The sequence below is a fragment of the Homo sapiens genome, chromosome 12, assembly GCF_000001405.40.
Source record: "Homo sapiens chromosome 12, GRCh38.p14 Primary Assembly".
Taxonomy (NCBI): Eukaryota; Metazoa; Chordata; class Mammalia; order Primates; family Hominidae; genus Homo; species Homo sapiens.
The window spans coordinates 105,067,101-105,091,739 of record NC_000012.12 but is presented as its reverse complement, the minus strand read 5'-3'; the positions used below and the strand labels follow the sequence as shown (position 1 = coordinate 105,091,739).

Below are 24,639 nucleotides of genomic sequence, written 5' to 3'. Positions count from 1 at the left end.
CTTGGCTCCTAAATTCCTGGCAGCTCAAACTCCAGTTTTTATCTTCTCCATCCCGTTAGATTGCTGAAAACTGCTGGTGTCTCTAGCATCTTCTTTATGCCTGGCTTCTCACCCCAAACCAAGCATTTGTAAATGCTGAAGAGGAAAGCAGAATGCAAAATATTGGATTCAACTTAGTGAGCTGCTTTTTCCTCTGGGACATCGGTACGTAGAGTCTTGACTGCCATTTCAGCTTTCTGATGCCTTCAAGTAGATATGCCAAAAAATTTTAGCTAGATGTACTAGTTGTTCTTCATATGAGTATTAATCTGCTGCAAAGGACTTTGTCATAGCTGAAAGAGAAGTCTCTTATGCTTTTTTTTTTTTTTTTTTTTTTTTAATGACAGGGTCTCCCTTTGCTGCCCAGGCTAGAGTGCAGCAGCATGATCATGGCTCACTGTAACTTCTGGGCTCAAGCAATCCTCCCAACTCAGCCTCCCAAGTAGATATGACTGCAGGTGTGTGCCGTGACACTTGGCTAATTAAAAAAAAAAATTAATAGATACCAGGTCTCTCTATGTTGCCCAGGCTGGTGTCAAACTCCTAGCTTCAGGAAAGCCTCCCACCTCAGCTTCCCAAAGTGCTGAGATTACAGATGTGAGCCACTGCACCCAGCCTCTTTTTATGTTTTTAATGTCTATGTGATCTGTACTACTGTCCAATTCTCTGTTGTTGATATTTGTTATTTCTCTTTATTTTTTCTTTATTAATCTCACCAAATGTGTACCAATTTTATAAGCCTTTTCAAAGAACCAACTTTTGGTTTCGTGGATGTTTCTCATGATATACATTAATATGGCTCTGATGAGTGAAGAACACCAGGGCTCTTGTCTCACGCCGAATTGGATAAAACGACACGGACACACGTGGAGTAGTTTTAAGGAGTGGAGACTTTAATAGGCAAGAAAGAAGGGAGAAGAAAGAAGAACCTCCCCTGAACAGAGACAGAGGGAGGGGGGCGCTCCAAAGCCGTGAGAGGAAACCCTGAGTGCCGTGGAAATGTAACTGCTTATATGAGGAGGCTGGAGGAGGTGGTACCTGATTTGTATAGGGCTCAGGGAATTGGTTTGAGCAGGCATGTCACTCACATAACCTGTGAAAAAAAACTGGTCCTCCCACCCTAGCCTTTTAATATGCAAATACAGGGCACCATGATGTTCTACACACGTGGGGATATGTGGGGGCGGCCATGTTGCCAGGCACATGTGGGGGCAAGGGCAAGAGGGCAAAGGTGGGAATTGCCATGTTTGGGTGGACCTGGTTTCTAATGGCTTGCATTTGCATATCAAAGTTTGCCGGCCTGGCTCTAAGAGCTGGGGCTTTCCTTTTCTGGAGCTGCTTTAAAAGAGACAAAAACTTTCCAAGGACCCCTTTTCCTCTCTATCTGCCTAAAATAATTTCTTAATAACTCCTATAACATTATTACAGGTTTCCTAAAATGCCAACATGAAATTAGACATGCAAGGGATTTATTAGTGGAAAACAGCGGTGAGGGGAAGTGAGGAGGCTGGGAGGGGAGGTTGGGAGAACTATCAGGCCACAGTGCAGGTCTGACCTTTTGTGAAGGAAAGCAGGCTAAAGAAGAGGTTTAGACTGCTATGAAAGTCAAAGAAAGTTCAACAGGCCAGTGAGGAGTCACCCTGTCAGAAGTGATCTGCGTCTTCCCCGAAATGACCTACCATAGCATTTCTGCCACTCCCAGTCACTGCTTGGCAGCACCCATGAGAAGCATAGACTCAATGTGTATGCAGAGCTGGATGCAAGGAGCACAGCAGCTGAAGCCATCAGTTTTCACCCCACAGCTGAAGATCTGTCAGTGAATATGCTCAAGGTTGCCACTATAATTTTGGGTCACAGGGTAGTGCTTATACTGATGCAAACAAGATCCAAAGGGATGCCTGGTTCAAAAGGTGGGAGGCTTTCTGCAAGTGAAAGATGAGGAAAAACTTTAAAAAGTTTATTTTAGGCTCTTGATCCTCATTGTTATGATGCATCCTTGTAAATTTGTCCCAAGAAAACTTTATTAAAATTCATTTATTTAATGAGATTAACCACAGGAAAAAAAGGAAATGAATATTAAAGTGACAATTACAGAAGTAAAAGACCTAATTATTTACCAGGGGCAAATTCCATACAGTATTTATATTACATAATATATTTGTATCAAGTTTAATTCACTTAATTCATCATTAAAATTGTTTACCAGAATTCAGTTCTTCCTGTTACACATTGCTGGGCTGGTGCTCTCAAGTGTTTGTTTTTATCATAAAATTATTTTTGCTTAAACAATAATTAAGCATTAATAATTGTTTTAATTAAAAATTGTTTAATACAAGGTCAAGAGTGCTTAAAAAAAGTGAGATTTAGGCCAGACTCAGTGGCTTACACCTGTAATCCCAACACTTTCAGAGGCCGAGGCGGGAGGATGGTTTGAGCCCAGGAGTTCAAGACCAGCCTGGGCAACATAGTGAGACCTTGTTGCTGGAGTGCAGTTGCGCTGTCTCGGCTCATCACAACTTCCGTCTCCTGGGTTCAAGTGATTCTCCTGCCTCAGCCTCCTGAGTAGATGGGATTACAGGCATGTACCACCACACCTGGCTAATTTTGTATTTTTATTAGAGACGGGGTTTCTCCATGTTGGTCAGGCTGGTCTCAAACTCGTGACCTCAGGTGTTCCTCTTACCTCGGCCTTCCAAAGTGCTGGGATTACAGGTGTGAGCCACCGCACCCAGCCTCAAATTTTTTAAAAAAAATTACGTGTGATGGTGCATACCTGTGGTCCCAGCTACTCAGGAGGTTGAGGCAGAAGGATCACTTGAGCCCATGAGATTGAGGCCACAGTGAGCCTTGTTTGTGCCACTGTATGCCAGTCTGGATGACAGAGCAAGACCCTGTCTCAAAGAGAGAGAGAGAGAAATTTATAAAGAAAACATCTCTTTTTTTTTTTTTTTTTTTAAAGTCAGGGTCTCTGCTCTGTCACTCGGCTGGAGTGCAGTGGTGCAATCATAACTCACTGTGCCCTCAAACTCTTGGGCCCAAGTGATCTTCCTACTTCAGCCTCCCAAGTAGCTCGGACTACAGGTGCATGCCACCATGCCCGGCTAATTGTTGTTGTTGTTGTTGTTGTTGTTTTAGCGATGGGGGTCTCCTTACATTGCCCAGGCTGGTCTTGAACTCTTGGCCTCAAGCGATCCTCCTGCCTGAGCTTCCCAAGTCACTGGGATTACAGTCGTGAGTCACTAGCCTAGCTCACATCACTCTTATATATGGTAAAACAGAGTATTCAGCAGAGCAAAATTTAAAAATATAGAGAGAAACAGCAATGTTTCCAAATAGTCAATATGGCTACATGTTAATTTCAGTCAAAAAGCAACCAAACAAGAAGAGGGCATGGAAACCCATAGAATTTTGTTCTAAAATCCTTGAAGTTGACTGTGGAAGTAAAAATGTTCTACACACATTTTTAGAAGTTTATAAATTATATGACTTGCAATTTCATAAAATTCTGAGTGAACGTTGTGTCTAGGACAAAACAGATCCCTGATCAACGTATTATATTTGCACAAGGCCCCTAATGTCACAGATATTAGTCACTAAACAAAACATTTGTCTATGGCAGAATGAGTAGATTCCAATTTAGGGCCAAGTGCAGTGGCTCACGCCTGTAATACTAGCACTTTGGGAGGTGGAGGTGGGCAGATCACTTGAGGCCAGAAATTCGAGACCAGGCTGGGCAACATGGCAAAACCCCTTCTCTACAAAAAAATACAAAAAAAATTAGCCGAGCATGGTGGTGTGTGCCTGGAATTCCAGCTACCCAGGAGGCTGATGTAGAAGGACCACCTGAGCCAGGGAAGGTCAAGGCTGCAGTGAGCTGTGATCCCACCACTGCATTCCAGGGACACCAATTCCAAAAAATAAAAAATAAAAAAGATTCCAATTTAGTATTCTGTAAACCCAAGACCCTAGCCACTCCTACTATGCAAGCTTTACATAGAACTCTAACTTTCATAGAGTTTTGTGTGGGAATTCTTGGGTTTCAACTTGGCACATCATCTATGTACTTTCTAAAGCGTGAAATTAATCCAGACACTTACAAAAAGTTATTCAAATGATTGTATTTACAAAAATGGCACAAAGTGAATTAAATAGTCTATGCACATGCATATATATATTTGAACTCCATAAAACATTATTATTATTGTTCTATACAATTAATATTAACTTAAATTTGCCCTCATATTAATCCTTTACATTACTATTCATTCTTTCATCTGTGAGTTTCCATCTGGGATTATTTTCTTTCCTACAAACTTATCCAACAATTTTCTATTGTTGTTTGGATATTTGTGTATTTTCATGTATACATATATAAACATAATACTTTATTATATTAATTATAATAATTTATTATTGTTCATGTGGTCAATGTTCACTTTTTTTTTTCTTGAGACAGGGTCTCACCCTGTCACCCAGCTGGAGTGCAGTGGCACAACCACAGCTCACTGAAACCTCAATCTGCCAGCTCAAGCGATCCTCCTTACTCAGCCTTCCGAGAAGCTGGGACTAGAGGCACGTGACCATGCCTGGCTAATTTTTGTATAATTTTTGTATTTTTTTGTAGAAACAGTGTTTCACCATGTTGCCCAGGCTGGTCTCGAACTCTGCCCACCTCATCTTCCCAAAGTGCTGGGAATACAAGCGTGAGCCACCACGTCCAGTCCAATGTTCACTTTAAATTTGCTCACGTCTTTGCCTTTTTTGTTGGGCTTCTTGCATTTCTAGGTTTCCATGTGGGTAAATTTTTTTTTCCTGCTGGAAGGATACTCTTTCATATTTCCTTTATTGTCTGTCTGCCGATGACAAATTCTCTCAAGTTTTTGTTTCTAAAAATGGCTTTGTCTTATCTCTATTTTTAAGGAGTATTTTTGCTGGGTATAGAAATAGATTGGCAGGGGTTGGTCTCTTTGTCAAACTCTAATTGCATCTGATCTAATTTCCAGTTATCAAGGAAACTATACTTTTGATTCTTCCAGGGAAAAAGTAAACACAATGAATATTTCATTATATTTGAGTGAACATAAATTCTACATTTCCTAAACTTGGGAATAGTAATATATAACTATGGAACCTCATTCAGGAAAAAAAAAAAAAAAAAAAAAAAACCCCTCCTTATGCACCCTTCTAGTATACACAGATCAGAATAAATAAAGGGAATATCAATATTTGGAAGTTTAAAAAAGCAAGAAGTCACAAAATGCAGTCAGGAAAGTGGGTTGAATTGGCAAGATGTAGGGCTCAAAGCAAAACCTTGGATGTTTGTTGCAATTCTCCAAGTTTTTTTTTTTTTGAAACAGAGTCTCCCTCTGTCGCCCAGGCTGGAGTGCAGGGGCGCGATCTCGGCTCACTGAAAGCTCTGCCTCCTGGGTTGACGCCATTCTCCTGCCTCAGCCTCCCAAGTAGCTGGGACTACAGGCGCCCGCCACACGCCCGGCTAATTTTTTGTATTTTTAGTAGAGACAGGGTTTCACCGTGTTAGCTAGGATGGTCTCGATCTCCTGACCTCGTGATCCGCCCACCTCGGCCTCCCAAAGTGCTGGGATTACAGGCGTGAGCCACCGCGCCCAACCGCAATTCTCCAAGTTTTAATGATGGTTCTTTTTTGTCTCCTTACTCTCTTAAACACATTCATCCGTTTCAACAAGTTTTTTTTTAACAAGTTATTTTTTATTTTATTATTATTTTTTTAAAGCTCTGGTTAGTGCTAGATACTGTAAATCCTGATTAATCAGACATGGACTTAGCTTGCAAGGAGCTTCCAACAGAGACGTTAATAGGTATACAAATACCAGTAGCAGATTGAGACAGCCATAACAGATGCATAGACAAAGATTATTTCCTGTTAAGAGGAGTGAACAATTATTTATGGGGAATAAGGAGACTAAGAGAGAAAAGAATCAGAAAAAAGCGCCTCCAGGAGGCAGCATGTAAGCGGTACCTTTCAGAAAAGAAACGGTCGTGCCAAGATAATTACAAGTGACAGATGACAAGCTTTTCTGGGAAACATTGTCCAAGAAGGAATAGGCAAGAACTGCAGTCAAGCAGAATTACATATGCAAAAGAGCAGTGAGAAATAAGAGAAAATGGCAAATTGCAGACGGCCCTGAATGCTGGGCTAAGAAGTCTGGCTTGAGATAAACGTCCAGCTAAAGCAGGTCTGAGCGTTTTTTCCAGAGAGGTGAGGGAGAAGGGCACGTATCTATTAGGTTGATGCAAAAGTAATTGCGGGTTTGCCATTATTTTCAGTGGCAAAAACCACAATTACTTTTGCACCAATTTATTTATTTATTTTTAAGACAGAGTCTCGCTCTGTTGTCCAGGCTGAAGTGCAGTGGCATGATCTCAGCTCCACTGCAACCTCCGCCTCCCCGGCTCAAGTGATCCTCGTGCTTCAGCCTCCCGAGTAGCTGGGACTGCAGGCATGCGACATCACGCCCGGCTAATTATTTTATTATTTTATTATTTTTTATTTTTAGTAGAGACGGGGTTTCACCATGGTGGCCAGGCTGGTCTCGAACTCCTGAGCTCAGGCCATCTTCCCTCCTCGGCCTCCCAAAGTGCTGGGATTACAGGCGGGAGCCACCGCGCCCGGCCTACCGTCCTACGAGGTAGGCATCAGGATCCCTCCACAGCGAAGGCGCCCCCACTACCTATCTGTCTACAGGCGTGCCTTTTACGGGCTGTGCTATGGACAGCACTTGGGATGTCAGATTGACCACTAATAAGGTAGATCCGTATACACTGCTGCGGGGCTGAGTAACTGGTAGAGGGTCCCACAGTTAGAAAGCACCTGGACCTTGGCTGGAATTGGCGGAAAGTCCAGGCAGCGGAGAGGCGCGGTCCCTGGGACTGGGTGCGCTCTTGGCACCAGGGTCAGGGCCCACAGGCTCCAGGAAGCCCACGCGCTCCGCCGGGTCGCACCAGGTTGGCTGTCCGAACGCAGCCAGCTGGCGGGGCGGGGCCTTCCAGCTGGGGGCGGGGTCTTGACAGCTAGGGGGCGGGGCCTTGCAGCTGGTAGGGTGGGGCGGGCCGCGGGCTGTGGGCTTTGGGAGGGGTGCGGACTAGCAGAGGCCGAGAGCGGCGAGCCGCGAGCCAGGCAGTCCGGGGCATCCAGACTGCAGGCCGCGCCCAGGCCGCGCCCAGGCTGCGCCGCCCGCCTGCCTCCCGCGCTGCCGCGTCGCCAGTGCTAGCGCTCCTCTCCAGCATGCTGCGGCGGGGCAGCCAGGCGCTCCGGCGCTTCTCCACTGGCCGGGTGAGTCCGGCCCGGGCGAGCGTCCCGGCTGTCACCCTGTCCTGGTTTCCAGACTCCGGGGCGGGAGGGCCGGGGCGGTGGGGCTGGGGATGAGCAGCGATGCTTAGACTTTGCTAAACACCAAGACAGCGTTTAAAACAAACAAACAAACAAACAAAAACAGAGAGACCTCAGAGGAGGGCTTGGGGAGGGTCCCGGATGGGAACTGGCACGCAGGCCATTGTCTTCTGCCGGGAGGGGGCTGAGGATGCAGTTTTTGGACGTGTCAAGTCTGGCTGGGATGGCAAGGTGGGAACAGTCACTTGGTAAGGAGGACAGAGTCTGCTTCCTTTCCTTTTTCACTTCAATCATGAGATCCCTGGTCAAGAGCTGGAGCCATATGGAACCGAGACTGTCTCCTGGAGGAGGGGAGTATCAAGTCAATAGGGTCCTCGTTGGCGGCCTGGGAGGTGTAAGCGCTCGAGACTGGCACGCAGGGCCGGTTCAGATAATGGCACTCAAAGCTGATGGCTGCAAGCTCAGTATTCCTGAGCTGAGCTGCAGATGGCAAAATTTCTAGAATTGCCAGGCGCTGCAGAGGCAGCCACGCTGGAACACTATTCTACTGTAGCACAAGAACCGAGCTCTGGCCCAGCCCCGCGCCTTGGAATTGCATCAGCTCCTCCAGAAATGGAACCGAGAGAGGACACGTTGCACTGCGGTGCTGCCTTCAGCACCCAGGGGGCCTCGGGACTGTTTAGGGAAGAGAGAGAGAGAAAAAAAAAAAATAAAAACTGTCTTATGTATCGTATCTTTTATAGGAAGTACATAAAAGAATTTGCTTATCGATTCTTTTTCTCGGCCATGCCAAAGCCATATGTACATATGTATATATTCAGATGTAAAAAACTTGGAGGCAGAGAGAAGTCTTGAGTAGCACCAAAAACTGGCCCAAACTTGCATCAAAGGAAAAGCTTTCTGTATCCCAGACAACCCCAAATAATAAGAATTCGTTTTACTCTTTGCAACCAGTTCTAGTTACTTTGAGGTATAGTCACCTTTTATAAAACGAGGGGTGGGGGTGGGGAAGACCTGCTCTGCTAGGACTTTGGCCTGCTCTCCTGGACCCCTCATTAGCTTCCCCCACCACGTGGCACATGGGATCCCAGATGGATAGCACAGAAAGCAACGGGCTGTGCCCAATGCCTGAGCCTGTTTTGTTGGCCTCCTCTGTCAACACCTTTCACTGACTTGTCTTTTTTGGTGACCAGAAGGAAGTCTTGCAGAATGAAAAGATTTTGATAGTGCGGTTTGCATAAGATTTCAGTAATAAAAGGTAAACATCTCAGGTGGCAAATGGCATAAACAAAACTATGGATGTGGGGAAGAACTGGCGTGATCAGGGTCTAACTGTACGCAGGGGTGCATATGGAAAAGCAGTGATACTCATGGCTGGGAAGAAGACAGTTTCCTCAGTGGTCGAAAGGAAGCTACTGAGTGGTGAATGAAAAATGTGGGATGTTTTATCCTGTAGAAAATGTTCTGGACTGTGTTTTATAAGAATTATTCAAAATCAAACAGATACATGGCTGGTGGAAATATAAAATGGTACAGCCACTTTGGAAAACTGTTTGGCAGTTTTATATGTAGTTAAACATAAACCTATCATATGACCCCGGAATCACACTCCTAGGTATTTACTCAAAAGAAATGAAACCTTATTTGCCCGCATAGAAACCTGTTTATTGATGTTTCTAGAGGTTTTATTCATAATTGCCAAAAACTGGAAATAAATTGTCCTCAGCTGGTGACAGGATAAACAAGCTGTGGTATATCCATCCATACAATGGAATTCTACTCAGTTGGGGGAAAAAGGAATGAACTACTGATGCATACAACATGGATGGAACTCAAATATGTATGCTAAGTGTAAGAATCAGACTCATAATGCTACATATTTTATGATTTCATTTATCTGACATTTTGGAAGAGTAAAACTATAGGGACAGAAAAAAGATCAGTGATGTCTGGAGCTGGAGATAGGAGGAAGGATTGATTATAAATAGGCATAAAGGAATTTGGGCGGTAATGGAACTGTTCTACATCTTGATTATGGTAGTGGTTACGTGACTGTGTGTTTGTTAAAACTCACAGCACAGTACACTGAAGAGGGTGCATTTTACCCATGCAAATTATCTTTTAATTTTTATTGTTTTGAGACAGAGTCTCACTTTGTCACTCAGGCTGGAACGCAGTGGCACAATCTTGACTCACTGCTACCTCTGCCTCCGGGGTTCAAGCAATTCTCCTGCCTCAGCCTTTTGAGTAGCTGGGATTACAGACATGCACCACCATGCCCAGCTAATTTTTGTATTTTTAGTAGAGACGAGGTTTTGCCATGTTGGCCAGGCTGGTCTTGAACTCCTGGCCTCAAGTGATCCTCCTGCCTCGGCCTCCTAAAGTGTTGGGATTACAGGCATGAGCCACTGTGCCCGGCCTAATTATCCCTTTATCTTTAAAATTTAAAAATCAAACAATGCTTTTAAGTTTAGTATTAAAGCAGAATGAAGGATGAATAAAAATAAAGCTTTCAGAACCTAGCAAAATCCAAGGGGAAAATTAGTTTATAACACTTCTTGATAGAATTCATTTCTCCATCCTCTGTCTTAAATAAAAGGACTTAGAAATACTTAATGATTTCAGCTTAGTGATGGCTGGATCTTTTTAACTAAAACAATGGTTTGCTTTAAAACCCTTTGTCAATTAGATATTATTGCCCACCTCTGATATCCTGCCTGGCTCACTGCTTCTTCTCCCTGTGGTAGGAGTTATTTAGCCCTCTATTCATTGACATTCCTTTGTTTAGCTTTCTCTGCCAGTGTCTGGGTCAGGTCTGTCTGGTAGCTCTGGGTTTATAGCCTGGCTCCAGGTAACTTGAGGTTACCTTATGATCCAGTCCAAAGAGGTGGGACCCTTCCTTGCTCTTTGGAACCAAGTACCTGCTTTATTTCTCAGTTCTAGGAACCAGGTTCTTGTTTCATCATTGCCCGACCTCTGCTCTGGTGTCTTATCTGTTCATAGGATCTCCAAATTCAGCTTTAAACTGTATTTAATTGTCTGTTATACACTGAGGACTCTAAATCCTGAGGATATAATATTAATAGATGCATTAATAAATGCTTTACATATACAATTGTCCCTTGTTGTCCCTTGTATTCATAGGGGATTGGTTTCAGGACCTCCCGTGGATATCAAAATCTGAAGATGTTCAAGTCCCTTATATAAAACGGGTAATATTTGTATATAACCTGTGCATATTCTCCTGTATACTTTAAATCATCCGTAGATAACTTATAATAATGAATACAAAGTAGATGCTATGTAAATAATTGTCCCACTGTATTGTTTATGGAATAATGACAAGAAAAATTATACATGTCTAGTACAGATGCAATTTTTTCCAAATGTTTTCGATTCATGGTTGGTTGAATCCACGGATACAGAACCCACAAATACAGAGGGCGACTGTGTACTCCTTTAATCCTCATGATATCTCAATGAAGTAGGTACTAGGTTAAGCATCCCAAATCTGAACATTTGAAATCTGAAATGCTTTAAAATCTGAACATTTTTGAGCACTGACATGACACTCAAAGGTAATGATCATTACAGCATTTTGGATTTCAGATTTTCAGATTTGGGATGCTCCAATGGTAAGTATAATGCAAACATTCCAAAGTCTGAAAATATCCGAAATCTGAAACACTTCTGGTTCCAAGCATTTTGGATAAGGGATTCTCAACCTAGATTATTATGACCATTTTGCTGATAAGAAAACTGAGACCCAGAAGTGAACTAACTTTTTCAGACTCTCATAACCCAAAAGATAAAACAATAAACAAGAAAGAAATAGTCCCATTTTCAAGGAGTTCATAGATTAGTGGGACAGACTATTAAATCTATGTTTTTAGGAAAAGAATAATAATACATAATACACTAACTAAAATGATATACCAAAAATGAAATATAAATGAGCAATAAAATATGAAAATACACTCAACCAAACTAGTAATCAGGCAAATGCAACTTAGAACAAGATACCATTTTTCACTCATCAGGGTGGCAAAAATCATAAATTTGACGATATTGTGTGTTTAGCAGGGGTGAGAAAACAGTTCATCCACTACTCTAGAGGTCAATTTGATGCTACATATTTAAATTAAATTTATGTTTAAAAATGATCCTGCAGTTTCACTTGTAGGTATCTGAGAAAAATACTTCTACATGGGCACAGGAAGCATGTACCATGATATTCATTGCCATGGTATTTGTAATAATGACATATTGAAAGCCAAAATGTTTCTCAATAGGGACATGAACAAATAAACTGAGATATAGCTACACTAAGGAATACTGTGCAAGAATTTCAAAGAATGAATTATATGTACGAACAAGGAAAGTTGTGGAACATTACGCATAATATTATTTCATTTGAATTATTTTTGGAAATACAAAACAATACTTTTTGTATATATTTCCATGTTTTTAAATGCCTAGGAAAGGTCTGTAGAATTCACACCAAACAATAGTAGTTTCCTCTGGGGAGTGAGAAGGGGATGCAGATTGGGAGTGATGGTCAAAAGGGACTGTAGTCTTATCTGTGATCTTTTCTTTTCGTAAGGAGCTTGTGTGTATATGTAATATGTATAATTAAAAATTAATTTTAAAAATTTTATACAATTAAAATATTATAGTAAATTCTGTGCATGGAAATCCTGCCTCTCTAGTACTGGAGTCCGTTTCTGGACTCGAGCCCTTTGGACTGTCTCTCCCTTTACTCAAAGTCTTTGAAGTGTTCTGTGGTCACCAGCCTCGGCCCAGGAGCTCTCTCCAGCCTCTGAGTCCTGGGCATCCCCCTCTGGCATCACCTGCTCATAGGCCCCTGTACTGACATCCCTCCTTTTAAAATATTTTATCCTTTTTATGATGAAAAAACAAAAGTTGGCCAGACATCCAAGAAAGCCCTCACTGATATCTTCTTTATATAATGAGGCAATAGGAACATCAAGTTGCGCAAGCTTGCCATTTAGGATGGTATCCTGAATCTTGCAGATCTACCTCTATGTAAAGTGTACTTGTTGCTTCTGTTAGTATGAGAGTTTGTTACAATTGGTTGCAAGAGCTTTCACACTATTCCAGACTATATCCTGTGACTATGCTACAGGTGGATTGCTAGGTCAGCTTTGATTTTCACGCTCTGCTCCATTCTCAACACAAGAGGTGTGTCTACCCGGAGCTAGTTCATGCCTCCAGAGTTACCTAAGCAGTCTATTAGCATAGAAACTAGACTCTCCTGGTTTCAATTAACTCTCCTGCTTAAAGCGGCTCAGTGAATCTCATTGTCTTCACAATAAGGTCCCAATTATTTGACACAAAGCGCTCCATAATGTCTCTTGCTACGGTGTCGCTTGTCACCACTCCTTAACTCCCAGTATTGGACACGCTGTGCACATGCATTTGTTTCTTTGTAAATACCGCACCCTCTGCCTGGAACTTCCCAAGCCTCTCCCTTTTCTCTGCCAACTCCCAAGATGGATTCTCTAAGATTCAGCTAAGTAACTCCCTTCTGGAGAAGGCTTCTCGTCTCTTAACCAAACTGTGCTCTCTTATTCTAGCACTGTTACTATGTCTTAGCTTGTGTGCCCTCCCTACTAGTTGGTGGATTCCCGAGTACAGGGACTGCTTCTTTTTATCTTTAGTGTAAGGGTCGCAAAGAGAAATTCCCACAGAGGCCAAACAGGTAAAGCAAATGAGAGATTTGAGCTGCATAGAGGGCAAGACCATGTCTAGGGTAAAGGGGCCACCACTGCTCAGCGCTAGCTGACTGTTGCTATACGGCGCCACAGACCAGGGTTGACAAACCTCCTGAGTTTTTTTGATTTTTGTTTTTTGAGACAGAGTCTTGCTCTGTCGCCCAGGCTGGAGTGCAATGGCGCGATCTCAGCTCACAGCAACTTCTGCCTCCCGGGTTCAAGCGATCCTCCTGCCTCAGCCTCCTGAGTAGCTGGGAATACAGGCACGCGCCACCATGCCCAGCTAATTTTTTTGTACTTTTCATAAAGATGGGATTTCACCATGTTGGCCAGGCTGGTCTTGAACTCCTGACCTCAGGTGATCGGCACCCAGCCAAACCTCCTGAGTTTTAAAGACAAGTTAGAAGTTGTGCCTTCTGAGGTGCAACCTCCTAAAAATCTTAACAGAGTCCTCTTAAAAATGCTTTGTGGGCCAAATAAAACACCCCTGCCAGGCCAGTAATGTGCCACCTCTACCATGCACTACGCCCAGAGTGTGGCAAAGCCTGAAAACATGCTTGTTGGATGAGTCTTGCACAGAGTCAGGCACAGTTTGGGGCACTCTGTGCCGGATGCTCCATGAAGTGTTAGGCACCTCAGGGTCTCAGGAAAATGTACTTTGTTTTATTCTTTTGTGTGAAGGTCCTCTGTGTGAAACTGCCAATTCTTACTTGGATAGCTTTGGCCTTACTTTACACCCTGCCCAGATGGTTCTATTAGCATCTGGCCAAAGGGCTTCAGATCAGGGCAGACTCTTCGCACTGTGCCTTGAAGTTTTCTTTGGAAAGCTATGTGTACCTTTTTTTTTTTTTTTTTTTAATTCTTGGAGCATAGTCAGGGTCTGTATTAACTTGCTTCCTGAAGAATTCCACCAGAGGGTGGACAGCCTGGGAATGCATTATTTGACAATTTGGAAAGCAAAGGCTCTGCTCCCTGCAAAAGTCTCCTCTAGTGAAGAATGTTCTCTCTAAAGAAACAAGGTCGGGCGTGGTGGCTCACGCCTGTAATCCTAGCACTTTGGGATGCCAAGGCGGGTGGAGTGCCTGAGCTCGGGAATTTGAGACCAGCCTGGGCAACACGATGAAACCCCATCTCTACTAAAATTAAAAAAAAAAAAAAATTAGCTGGGCATGACGGCGTGCGCCTGTAATCCCAGTTACTTGGGAGGCTGAGGCAGGAGAATTGCTTGAACCCGGAAGGCGGAGGTTGCAGTGAGCCGAGATGGCGCCATTGCACTCAAGCCTAGGTGACACAGTGAGACTCTGTCTCAAAAAAAAAAAAAAGAAAAAAGAAACAAGATTAGATTATAGAACTTATCATCCAGATTTGGAAATGACTGTGTGTCATTTTATGCCCTTTCTCACTAATGCGACAGACACCTATAGTGAGAGCCGGTTAAAGAATGGTGCTGTCTCCCACGTCACTTCCACTGTGGCATTTCCTTAAACAGGCTGATGGAACTATTCCCAATTGACCTGTCAAACTGTTGCTATGTTTTTCTTTTTCTAAAGTAGGAGGGGAACTTTCAGCATAGGAAAGCCTTAGAAACACATCTGCTAAAGTAAGACAGATCCAGGTTTGAATCCTGCCCTGGACCCTTATTAGCTCTGCCCTTGGGCAGGTTACTTAACTTTCTGACCCCTTTGTTTTCTCATTTGCAAAATGGGTCACTGGGGGGATTAAAGATGTATAATAAGCATTTGATAAATACTTTTTGAATTAATGAAAAGGGCTCAACATAGTGTTTGGCTCATGGTATATTTCCAATAGGAAATATCTATTATCATTATTTGTAGGTACCTAGGTATTGCTTATGGTATGATAATAATAATAGGTAACATTTACTGAGCATTTACTATTGCCATGCACTGTGCTAATGCATTACACACTTTATCCCATTGAATCCTTATAACAACCTTATGAGATAGGTACTATTACTATTCTGATTTTAATTGATGATGGAAAATAAAGCCCAGTTCAAGACTGCACAGCTGGTGTATGAAAAAACAATAGGCACTAGGATAATAAACAGAGTTGGAATCTCAGGGCTGCCTCTTAGCAGCTATTTGACTCCTGGCTACTTAACCTCTCTGTCTTTAATTTCTTTATCCCTAAAGTGGGTTAATAATGCCTGTCTCCAGGAGTCATTGTGCAATCAAATGAGATAATAATGTGAAATACTTGGCCCAAACTAGGGTCTCATTAAAATGTTTGCTCTTATTTCCACCATTTCTTCCTGACCGAAACTCCCCAGGGCAGAATCTTGTTCTTGTGGGCAGACATACCACTCTCCACAGAGCAGAGATTCTCAGACTTCCATGTACTTCTGAGTCACTGAAGAGTTTGTTAAAATGCAGCTTCCTGGGCTTAAGATTCTGAGTCAGTAGATCTGAAGTAGGGCCCAGGAATCCACATTTTAAACATGTTCTCCCAGTTACTTCTGCCAATACAGGCAGGCACCACACCTGGAGAAATAAGACTGAAGTAAAATAGCCTGTAATCCTGGCACTTTGGGAGGCCAAGGCAGGTAGATCACCTGAGGTCAGGAGTTTGAGACCAGCCTGGCCAACATGGTGAAACCCTGTCTCTACTAAAAATACAAAAATTAGCTGGGCATGGTGGTGTGTGCCTGTAATCCCAGCTACTAGGGAGGTTGAAGCACAAGATTCACTTGAACCCGGGAGGCGGAGGCTGCAGTGAGCCGAGATTGCACCACTTCACTCCAGCCTGGGTGACCATGGAGTGAAACCCTGTCTCAAAATAAATAAATAAAGTAAAATATATCAGTCCAATTTTCTGGAATCTTGCTAACTCATTATAAACATATTTATAGTCATGAAATCTGAAAACTTCTCAGTGTTAGAAACTCACCTTTATAGCTTCAGCTTCAGTGTAAAGCTCAGAAAGTGTTTCAATGAATGTAGTGTTTCCAAAGATACTGACATGGTTTCTTTTTTTGCGGGGGCGGGGTGTGGACAGAGTTTCACTCTTGTTGCCCAGGCTGGAGTGCAATGGTGCGATCTCAGCTCACTGCAACCTCTATCTCCCGGGTTCAAGCAATTTTCCTACCTCAGCCTCCCGAGTAGCTGGGATTACAGATGCCTGCCACCATACCCGGCTAATTTTTGTATTTTTAGTAGAGACAGGGTTTCTCCATGTTGGTCAGGCTGGTCTTGAACTCCCGACCTCAGGTGATTCACCCGCCTCAGCCTCCCAAAGTGCTGGGATTACAGGCGTGAGCCACCGCGCCCGGCCAACATGGCTTCTTTAAATACTGTCTTTCTCAGAGAGGACTGAATCTGGAATTGAACTCCAAATAACCAGACGACAGCCGAGCGGCACATTACATTTGAGTCATCTCAGTCTCTTGGCTCTTGGGTGTTTGAAAAGTAGTATTTTAGATGTCTTGAATATCTGGCATTGGTAATGGTAAGTGGTAAAGCCAAAATTTTTGTAAGGTGGCAAACATGTAGATTCTATTTCAAGCAACAGCATTAGTTATAGGATTTGAAGATAGCATATAGGACATTTGATTTTTTTGAGAAGAGGAAATTAAATGGTCAGCCATGCATTATCTGCAGGTGAATTTGCTGTTGTTACAGAGTTAATCTGTTTGTTTGCAAGTATTTGTTGAAGCTTACTTAGGTTCTTTGGGGATAGAAAGTTTGGCTGACCCTAGGATGTTTTTTTAATTAGTTAAATTAGTTAAAACTTTGTTTTATTATCTGCTCAATTACAGGGAAGTTGTGATCTGGTATCCTTTTAAGTCCATTCCTAAAAACAGGATGTTATGTATGCCTCTAATAAAGTGGGAAATAAGGGAAAATTAAATTTCTTCAAAAACAGAGTTTCTCAGTGAGGCTTTACTAATTTAGAATTACTTGCCAGAACATTAGCGAATCCCATTTAGATTGGAGGGGGATAAACATCCTAAGTTCAGATCCCCGTGGAGCCACATGCTAACATGGAAGAATGTAAAGTAGAGAGAGTTCTGCGGAGGCACTGCCAAGAGAGGAAGCTCATAGGAAGTCATGACCCTCTGATTACCCTCTTTCTTTCTTTCTTTTTCTTTTCTTTTTTTTTTTTTTTTTTTTTTTTTGGAGACAGAGTCTTGCTCTGTCACTCAGACTGGAGTGCTGTGGTGTGATCTCGGCTCACTGCAACCTCTGCCTCCCGGGTTCAAGAGATTCTCCTGCCTCAGCCTCCTGAGTAGCTGGGATTACAGGTGTGTGCCAGCACGTCTGGCTAATTTTTGTATTTTTAGTAGAGACAGGGTTTCGCCATGTTGGCTAGGCTGGTTTCAAACTCCTGACCTCAGGTGATCCGCCCACCTCGGCCTCCCAAAGTGCTGGGATTATAAGCGTGAGCCACCGTGCCCGGCCAAGGGTAGGTTTCTTACATGCATATATTGAGTAGTGGTGAAGTCTGGGCTTTTGGTGTACCTGATACCCAAAGAGTGAACATCGTACCCAATAGCTATCTTTTTTAACCCTCACCCTCATCCAGTGTCTTCTATCCATGCTTATGTCTTCGTCATTGAATTGTTTCACAGGTTTATTTCAAAAACAAGCTGAAGTTGGCACTAATTGGCCAGAGCCTCTTTGGACAAGAAGTCTATAGCCACCTCCGCAAAGAGGGCCACCGAGTAGTAGGGGTGTTCACAGTTCCAGACAAGGATGGAAAAGCTGACCCTCTGGGTGAGTGCATCTTGGGATGACTGGGTCAAGAATTCTCAGGTCCTTACCAATGCTGGACTTCCATCTCATGGTCCAAGGTAGCTGCCTCAGCCCCTACTATCACAGCGCCATTCCAGCAAGCAGGAAGGAAAAGAGTGGGAATCAGGGAAAAGCTTTTTATTAAGGGCATAATCCATATTACTCCCACTTGTATCCCATTGGCCAGAACTTAGTCACAGGCCAAATCTATTTGCAAGAGTGACTGAGAAATATAGATTTGATTTGGGGTGGCTATGCATTCAGCTAAACTAGGGAATCCATTGCTAAAGGATGAAGGGGGACAACTAGCAGTCTCTGCCATATACGTGGACTTCAGAAGGATTGCAAGCATATGACTTTTAGACCTCCTTTCAGAATGAATCCTGGGAAATGAACTCTTCCTTAGTGCCTGGTCCCAGGGTCAGGACCCCCTTTCCATTTGTCATGGCCATTTGGGCTCATGGCATAACTCAGAAAAAGAAAAACTACCAACCTCACTTATAGAGTAACTATATGAGGAAGTGGGTACAGCATGTGGGTAACAGCGTGTGTTCTGGAATCAAGGAGTGAATTCTGATTCTGCCACTTACTAGCTGTATGACCTTGGGCAAGTTACTTAATCTTACTAAGCCTCAGTTCAGCGGTAGCTACCTCACGTGGCTGCTATGAGGATTAAATTAGATTAATGTACACAAAGTGCTCACACTATGCCTGGTTCATAATAAGGAAGCATTGACAGTAGTTGAGTATTCTTGTTAGAATATTCAATGAGGACAGTCAAAGATAGCTCTGGGGCAGCCAAAAACTGAAACGGAAGCTCAACACCTGGATGTCTCAGCCTGTCTCAGCAGAGTACTTTTTTCTTTTTTGAGACAGAGTCTAACTCTGTTGCCCAGGCTGGAGTGCAGTGGCACGACCTCGGCTCACTGCAACCTCCACCTCCCAGGTTCAAGCAATTCTCCTGCCTCAGCCTCCCGAGTAGCTGGGATTACAGGCACCCACCATCATACCCGGCTAATTTTTGTATTTTTAGTAGAGACATGGTTTCACCATGTTGGCCAGGCTGGTCTTGAACTCCTGCTCTCAGGTGATCCGCCCACCTTGGCCTCCCAAAGTGCTGGGATTACAGGCATGAGCCACCACGCCCTGCCTGGAGTACATTTTTTTACAATGAAGACTTCTAAGTTTCCTCCACCCCATTTTTCTTTGCCATATGATCTTTCACAATTTTCTCTCATGATCACATTTTTTTTAACCACCGTTTATCCACTTTCCTGTCATCTGACATATGAGTTAAGTTTTTTGAACATCTTATGAACACTCACATTTTGTGAACACTATTGTGCTGGTCTCTCAGATTCTTCCAAACGGATTGATCAGGGGCTAATCGTGATGGCTGGGGTCCTTCAGGACTTCCTCAGGCTTCAGAATTTAGGTTTCATGGTGGAGGCATCATCTCATCCTAAGTCAATGAATTTTGTTGTTCAGATCTAGGAAAAAGGAAAGGGACACAAAAATGCAGATAGAAAGCTTTAGTTAAGACTTCTGGAAATTGCCTAAAATTAACATATATGCTATTATATATTAAATATATATACTATTATATTATACAAGTAATATATAATAATATATTATAAAATGTATATATCATATAGGATATTAATAGATATCATAATTTCTATAATTTATTAATATATACAATTATATATTAATAATAGTATGTATATATATTTTATACACTTAAACACATTTTTTTAGAGAAAGGGTCTCACTTCGTTGCCCAGGCTGGAGCGTAGTGGCACGATAATAGCTTACTGCAACCTGGAACACCTGGGCTCAAGTGATCCTCCTAAGTAGCTAGGATTATAGGTATGTGCCACCACATCCAGCTAATTTAAAAATAATTTTTGTTTTTTTGGTAGAGATGGAGGTCTCATTATGTTGTCCACGCTGGTCTCAAACTCCTGAGTTTAAGCAGTCCTCCTGCCTTGGTCTCTCAAAGTGCTGGGATTACAGGTGTGAGCCACTGTGCCTGACCGATTTTTTAAATATATACTACTCGGGAGGCTGAGGCTGGAGAATGGCATGAACCCGGGAGGCGGGGCTTGCAGTGAGCTGAGATAGCACCACTGCAGTCCGGCCTGGGCGAAAGAGCGAGACTCCGTCTCACAAAAAAAAAAAAAAAAAAAAAAAAAAAAAATATATATATATATATATATATATATATACTACTTATATATAAAACTGTGTACTTAAATATATATATAAATACTTAAGATATAAGGCACACAGTAAAAATGACATTTCATTATGAAAAAAATAGGCGTGTGCTGTTTGCACTTTGGTGGGCCATTCCATTTTCATATGGCATTAGGATGGAGCCATTTGTTTGGGAGGGGACAGCGCTCTTCTCAGGAAGGAGACCCTGGTCTGCTTAGTGAGGCCAAACCCCTTAGCAGGAGCTGAGCATGTATTCTCCTTGGCCTCTCACCTTTGTTAATTTATTTGTTTGGTGAATTTGGGAGAAGGAAGTAGAAAAGCTCAGCTCAGCACTTACGCTCTTCATCTTTTGGGATCTGCCTGTTTGGCAGGGAGAATGTGTTCTGGTCTACGATGTGTTCAGTATAGGGAGGGAAGAGTTTCATGGCTTTCTAGCTGTGCCAGAGGTGAGTATGTTAAATTGGTGGGTGAAGTATTGGCACATGCCTCCAAATCTAAAGCTATGTTCTTAAAATGTTGTATCAGTAATAAAGGTACCATTTTTGATCTAAAAAAGAAAAAGCTTTCATTAAAATCTTAAAATATCATCTAGCCAAAAACTTTTCAGTTCTAATTTATTATGCCTTAAGTATATAGATATGTATCACCTTAGTGTGATCCAATTACAACAGGTGAAATTCTAGTCACAATCTAAATTGTTCTTCACCATGTTTTATTTGTAAATATTTCATGAAACTGTAAAATTACAACATATGAATTCATAGTGATGTAAAATTATGGCTAACTTCTAAAAAAAAAATCTTCTTTTTTATGCTCAGCTTTGGCTGCAGAGAAAGATGGGACCCCTGTGTTCAAGCTTCCTAAATGGAGGGTCAAGGGCAAGACCATCAAAGAAGTGGCAGAAGCCTACAGATCCGTGGGTGCAGAGCTAAATGTGCTCCCTTTCTGCACTCAGTTCATTCCCATGGATATAATTGATAGTCCAAAGCACGGCTCTATCATTTATCACCCATCCATCCTGCCCAGGCACAGAGGAGCCTCTGCTATCAATTGGTGAGATTTTTTCTTTTTACTTTTTTTTTTTGAGATGGGGTCTTGCTATGTTGCCCAGTCTGGGTTCAAACTCCTGGGCTCAAATGATCCTTCTGCCTCAGCCTCCCAAGTAGCTGAGATTTCAGGATTGTGCCAGAACACCCAGTGAGACTTTTTTAATTACACAGAGGGTGAGTGTATTTCAATTGCCTATATTCTTTCTGTTTTTTACCTAGGTGATCAAGACAAGAAACTAGGCATGCTTGAACAGTTGTGAGGTCCTGATTGGTTACTACTGTTGCATGAACTCCCCTGAGATCTAGACATACAGCGTGAACCAGGACAGCATTTACCAAGAATAGCCTATGGAGTACTAGCTCCATTGACTGTTACTAGGTATTGAGCAAACAAAGGTTTTATGGTCAGTAAGTTTGGTTTATGCCGGATTTTTAATTGCAGGATTCATTTGAGCTATTAATACGGGCTTTAATGTCAGTATCATAATCCCCTAGAGGGAGTCTGAATACACAATGTTCCCAAACTTATTTGACCACAGAACTTTTTTTTTGCATAGAGCATCTCAAGTACATTTCAGGAAATGCTGAATTACTTGAAATAATCATCAAGTAATTACTTGAAATGATGAAATGATCATCTTCACTGTCCATCTTCCCCATTCAACTCTAAGCTTCTTAAGGAAAGGGACTTTGCACAACATTTGTATTGCTATTTTCCAGTGTCAGAAACAGTGGCTGGTACATTGTAGGTACCTAATACCATAGGGACACAATACTGTGGGTTGAGGTGGGCCTTCCTACCCTTTCTGCCTTCTCTCCTTTACCTGCACATTTTCCTAATATTCCTCAGTGTCAAGTCATTGGAATAAGCTGGAAGCCTACACTTGGTTTAAATGTGATGAAAAATATTAATTGTATTTAAACTTTGATGACATGGATTGATTTCTTTTTGGCTCTTATAAATAACACACTATTATTTAGTAGACATATTTGCACTTAGACTTGTACTTTTTCTCAATTTACACTGTTTCCACATGCAGAATCATTGGATCAAAGCACATGAATATTTTCAAGGATCTTGATAGCAATGCCAGTCAATTTCTTAGTATTTCTGAAGAGTTAGTGATTGATGGATTGATTTAGGTCTTGATTTGTAGCTCAAAAGTAAAAAATATTTACATTATTACATGGCTGACCTACCATCATACTCCCTCTGTATTAGCTTGAATTAATAATCAGCTCTGTCCTTCACATTAGTTTCACATTCTGTCCTTCACAGAGTATCCTATTTTATCTTCTGTTCTTATTCCGCCTAATACAGGGTCAAATACGATGTAGGAATTGGACCCAGGTGGGCAAATTACTTGATCTTGAAGTAGAAAACTGATCCCTGGGAGTCAATGAGTGGTAGTAACGATAGACTCTAATGCCTTTTTAAATTCACTGCAAGTCATTACTGTACATTAACAAGAAAGACAAGATATGAGGATGTATTATATAAAATAGCAGTACCATTAGGCACTGCTTTTTATGAGCCCTGACGTCTCCCAGTTCTACTGTTAATTTCTCATGGTAGCTTCATTCATTGTCTACTTTTCCATTATAACTATCTTATACTTTAATATCACTAATTCATCACTTTATGATACAGTTAACCAACATTTTAAATTGAAATTCTTCTTTTCACAGGACTCTAATTATGGGAGATAAGAAAGCTGGGTTTTCTGTTTTCTGGGCTGATGATGGCTTGGATACAGGACCCATCCTTCTTCAGAGATCATGTGATGTTGAACCCAATGATACAGTGGATGCACTTTATAATCGGTTTCTTTTTCCTGAAGGAATCAAGGCCATGGTTAGTATATTTTGCCACCCAGAATTTAGTAAACCTTTAAAGTTTTGAAAATATTTTTTCTTTTATGAAGAAATTATCCATATGAATTTTCACCAAAAATATAAAGTTTAAAAACAAAATTAGATTTTTTTTAACTAATGGGATGGTATATTTAGGATGGAAATCTGAATTTTTCAATTTCTTAGTCTATGAAACTGACTTATTTTTCTGAGAGCAGTGATCCAATGGATGCAGTAGCATTTAAACTGCTCCATTCTTTTGCCAAATGCTTGAATCTTCAACCCTGCCTATAATGATTAATTGTAAAGAAGTAGATTGAATCTTAAGAAATTTTGCTACGTAATTTGTTATGGAAATTTAAAAGTACTTTAAATTAGCCTCTGTAACAGGGTGAAATTTGGTGTTGCTGTATTTATCCAGACGTATTCTGGGGTAAAAAAAAAAAAATCCCAAAACATGTATACCATCAAATAAAAATATTGCAATATTAGCCTACACAAATAGTGAAAGCTCCAGCTGATAATTTTGATGTCATTTAATTTTTTTTCAGAGCTAGTATGAAAGAAGTAGCAAGATTATATACAGTAGTAGCCATTGATTTAGGAGAGAGGAAAGCAGTGCTTTGCTTGTATCATTCAATGATTAAGAGAGTAGGGCTTCGATGTCAGAAAGACCTAAGCTCAAGTTTCCATTCTACCTCTTCTTTGTTGCATGACCACAGGCAAGTCGCTTAGCCTCTGTAGCTTTGGTTTCTTCATCTATACAGCATGGATAATACCACCTGACTTGTAGGGTGGTTGTGGAAATTAAGTGACACTATTTGTGCAAAGCATCTGGCCCATGGTAGGTGCTCATAAAATGATCATTACAATCAACATAGCATTTTGTGTGTTCAGTGATATTTGCTGAAGCCCAGATTCTAGACCTAGTTATAGCCTAGATGGAGGTGGGTGGAATGAGCTGTAAACTTGGCTCTGTTCCCCTGTGGCTCCCTCCGTGTGCTCTTGGGTGGGTTGGTCAGCAGCTGTGAGTCCTTAGAGAGAAATCTGAGAACTTGAACTCACGTGGGCCTCGCAGTGAAAATGGGAGGCTCTCGACTCAAGGCAAACGTAAATATAACAGAGAAGAAAATGCAGGACACCTCCCAAAGGCAATCAAGCTCATGGATAGATTTTAACTTTTTTTATTCCAGGTCTCCTAAACTAGAAAGCAAGTTGAATTCATTAAATACAGTAAGGTATCATTTTTTAGAATCATCATGATGAGTAAAATAACTCATAAAGACTTATTTTATCATTATATTCCTATCATTTCCAGTGAATCACTAAGGGAGGTGGCAGTTTGTTTAAACAAGGGAGTCATTTTTGAGAGTGCAGACTTCGATTGGCAATAGATAGACCTGGATACAAATCCTGTTTCTGACACCTACAAGCTCTCTCTGTGATCTTCAGCCAATTGCTTAGCTCTTTTTCTTTTTCTTTTCTTTTTTTTTTTTTTTTTTTTGAGACAGAGTCTCGCTCTGTCGCCCAGGCTGGAGTGCAGTGGTGTGATCTCGGCTCACTGCAAGCTCTGCCTCCCGGGTTCACGCCATTCTCCTGCCTCAGCCTCCTGAGTAGCT

The 24,639-nt window shown here is 41.9% G+C and overlaps 1 protein-coding gene and 1 long non-coding RNA gene across 8 annotated transcripts in view, besides 4 other annotated features; one reads left to right on the top strand and one right to left on the bottom strand.

Annotated features, from left to right (window-relative positions):
* Positions 6,975 to 7,404: a silencer, noted in NCBI's record as "silent region_4803". NCBI's record gives its function as "represses an Ori minimal core promoter by ATAC-STARR-seq in GM12878 lymphoblastoid cells {active_cell/tissue: GM12878}" and the evidence as "EXISTENCE:reporter gene assay evidence [ECO:0000049][PMID:35858748]".
* Positions 7,282 to 24,639, top strand: part of ALDH1L2 (aldehyde dehydrogenase 1 family member L2) — a 64,669-nt gene continuing 47,311 nt past the window's right edge. For 5 of the 7 annotated variants that reach the window (NR_027752.2, NM_001034173.4, XM_011537988.4 and 2 more), the window contains exons 1-4: positions 7,282 to 7,351; positions 17,735 to 17,879; positions 20,936 to 21,170; positions 22,856 to 23,021. Coding sequence is in view for 6 of the 7 variants with exons in the window: in NM_001034173.4 (NP_001029345.2) it covers positions 7,304 to 7,351; positions 17,735 to 17,879; positions 20,936 to 21,170; positions 22,856 to 23,021 (594 nt within the window). In the remaining variant the exon portion in view is untranslated. Of the gene's footprint in view, positions 7,352 to 17,389; positions 17,408 to 17,734; positions 17,880 to 20,935; positions 21,171 to 21,385; positions 21,546 to 22,855; positions 23,022 to 24,639 lie in introns of those variants that run through there. The other 2 variants (XM_047428406.1, XM_047428407.1) reach the window with 2 other exon arrangements.
* Positions 7,639 to 8,439: an enhancer, noted in NCBI's record as "H3K27ac-H3K4me1 hESC enhancer chr12:105477079-105477879 (GRCh37/hg19 assembly coordinates)". NCBI's record gives its function as "activates a minimal SCP1, AML or CMV promoter by ChIP-STARR-seq in naive H9 embryonic stem cells {active_cell/tissue: H9 hESC(naive)}" and the evidence as "EXISTENCE:reporter gene assay evidence [ECO:0000049][PMID:30033119]".
* Positions 7,905 to 8,144: an enhancer, noted in NCBI's record as "active region_6939". NCBI's record gives its function as "activates an Ori minimal core promoter by ATAC-STARR-seq in GM12878 lymphoblastoid cells {active_cell/tissue: GM12878}" and the evidence as "EXISTENCE:reporter gene assay evidence [ECO:0000049][PMID:35858748]".
* Positions 12,495 to 12,789: a silencer, noted in NCBI's record as "tiled region #9297; HepG2 Repressive non-DNase unmatched - State 23:Low, and K562 Repressive non-DNase unmatched - State 23:Low". NCBI's record gives its function as "represses a minimal TATA promoter and a strong SV40 promoter by Sharpr-MPRA in HepG2 and K562 cells {active_cell/tissue: HepG2 | K562}" and the evidence as "EXISTENCE:reporter gene assay evidence [ECO:0000049][PMID:27701403]".
* On the bottom strand, positions 17,724 to 19,388 carry LOC124903005 (uncharacterized). The gene is made up of 2 exons (XR_007063435.1): positions 19,223 to 19,388; positions 17,724 to 17,975 (listed from the first exon to the last, which is right to left on the bottom strand). It is a non-coding gene; the product is annotated as an uncharacterized LOC124903005 (long non-coding RNA).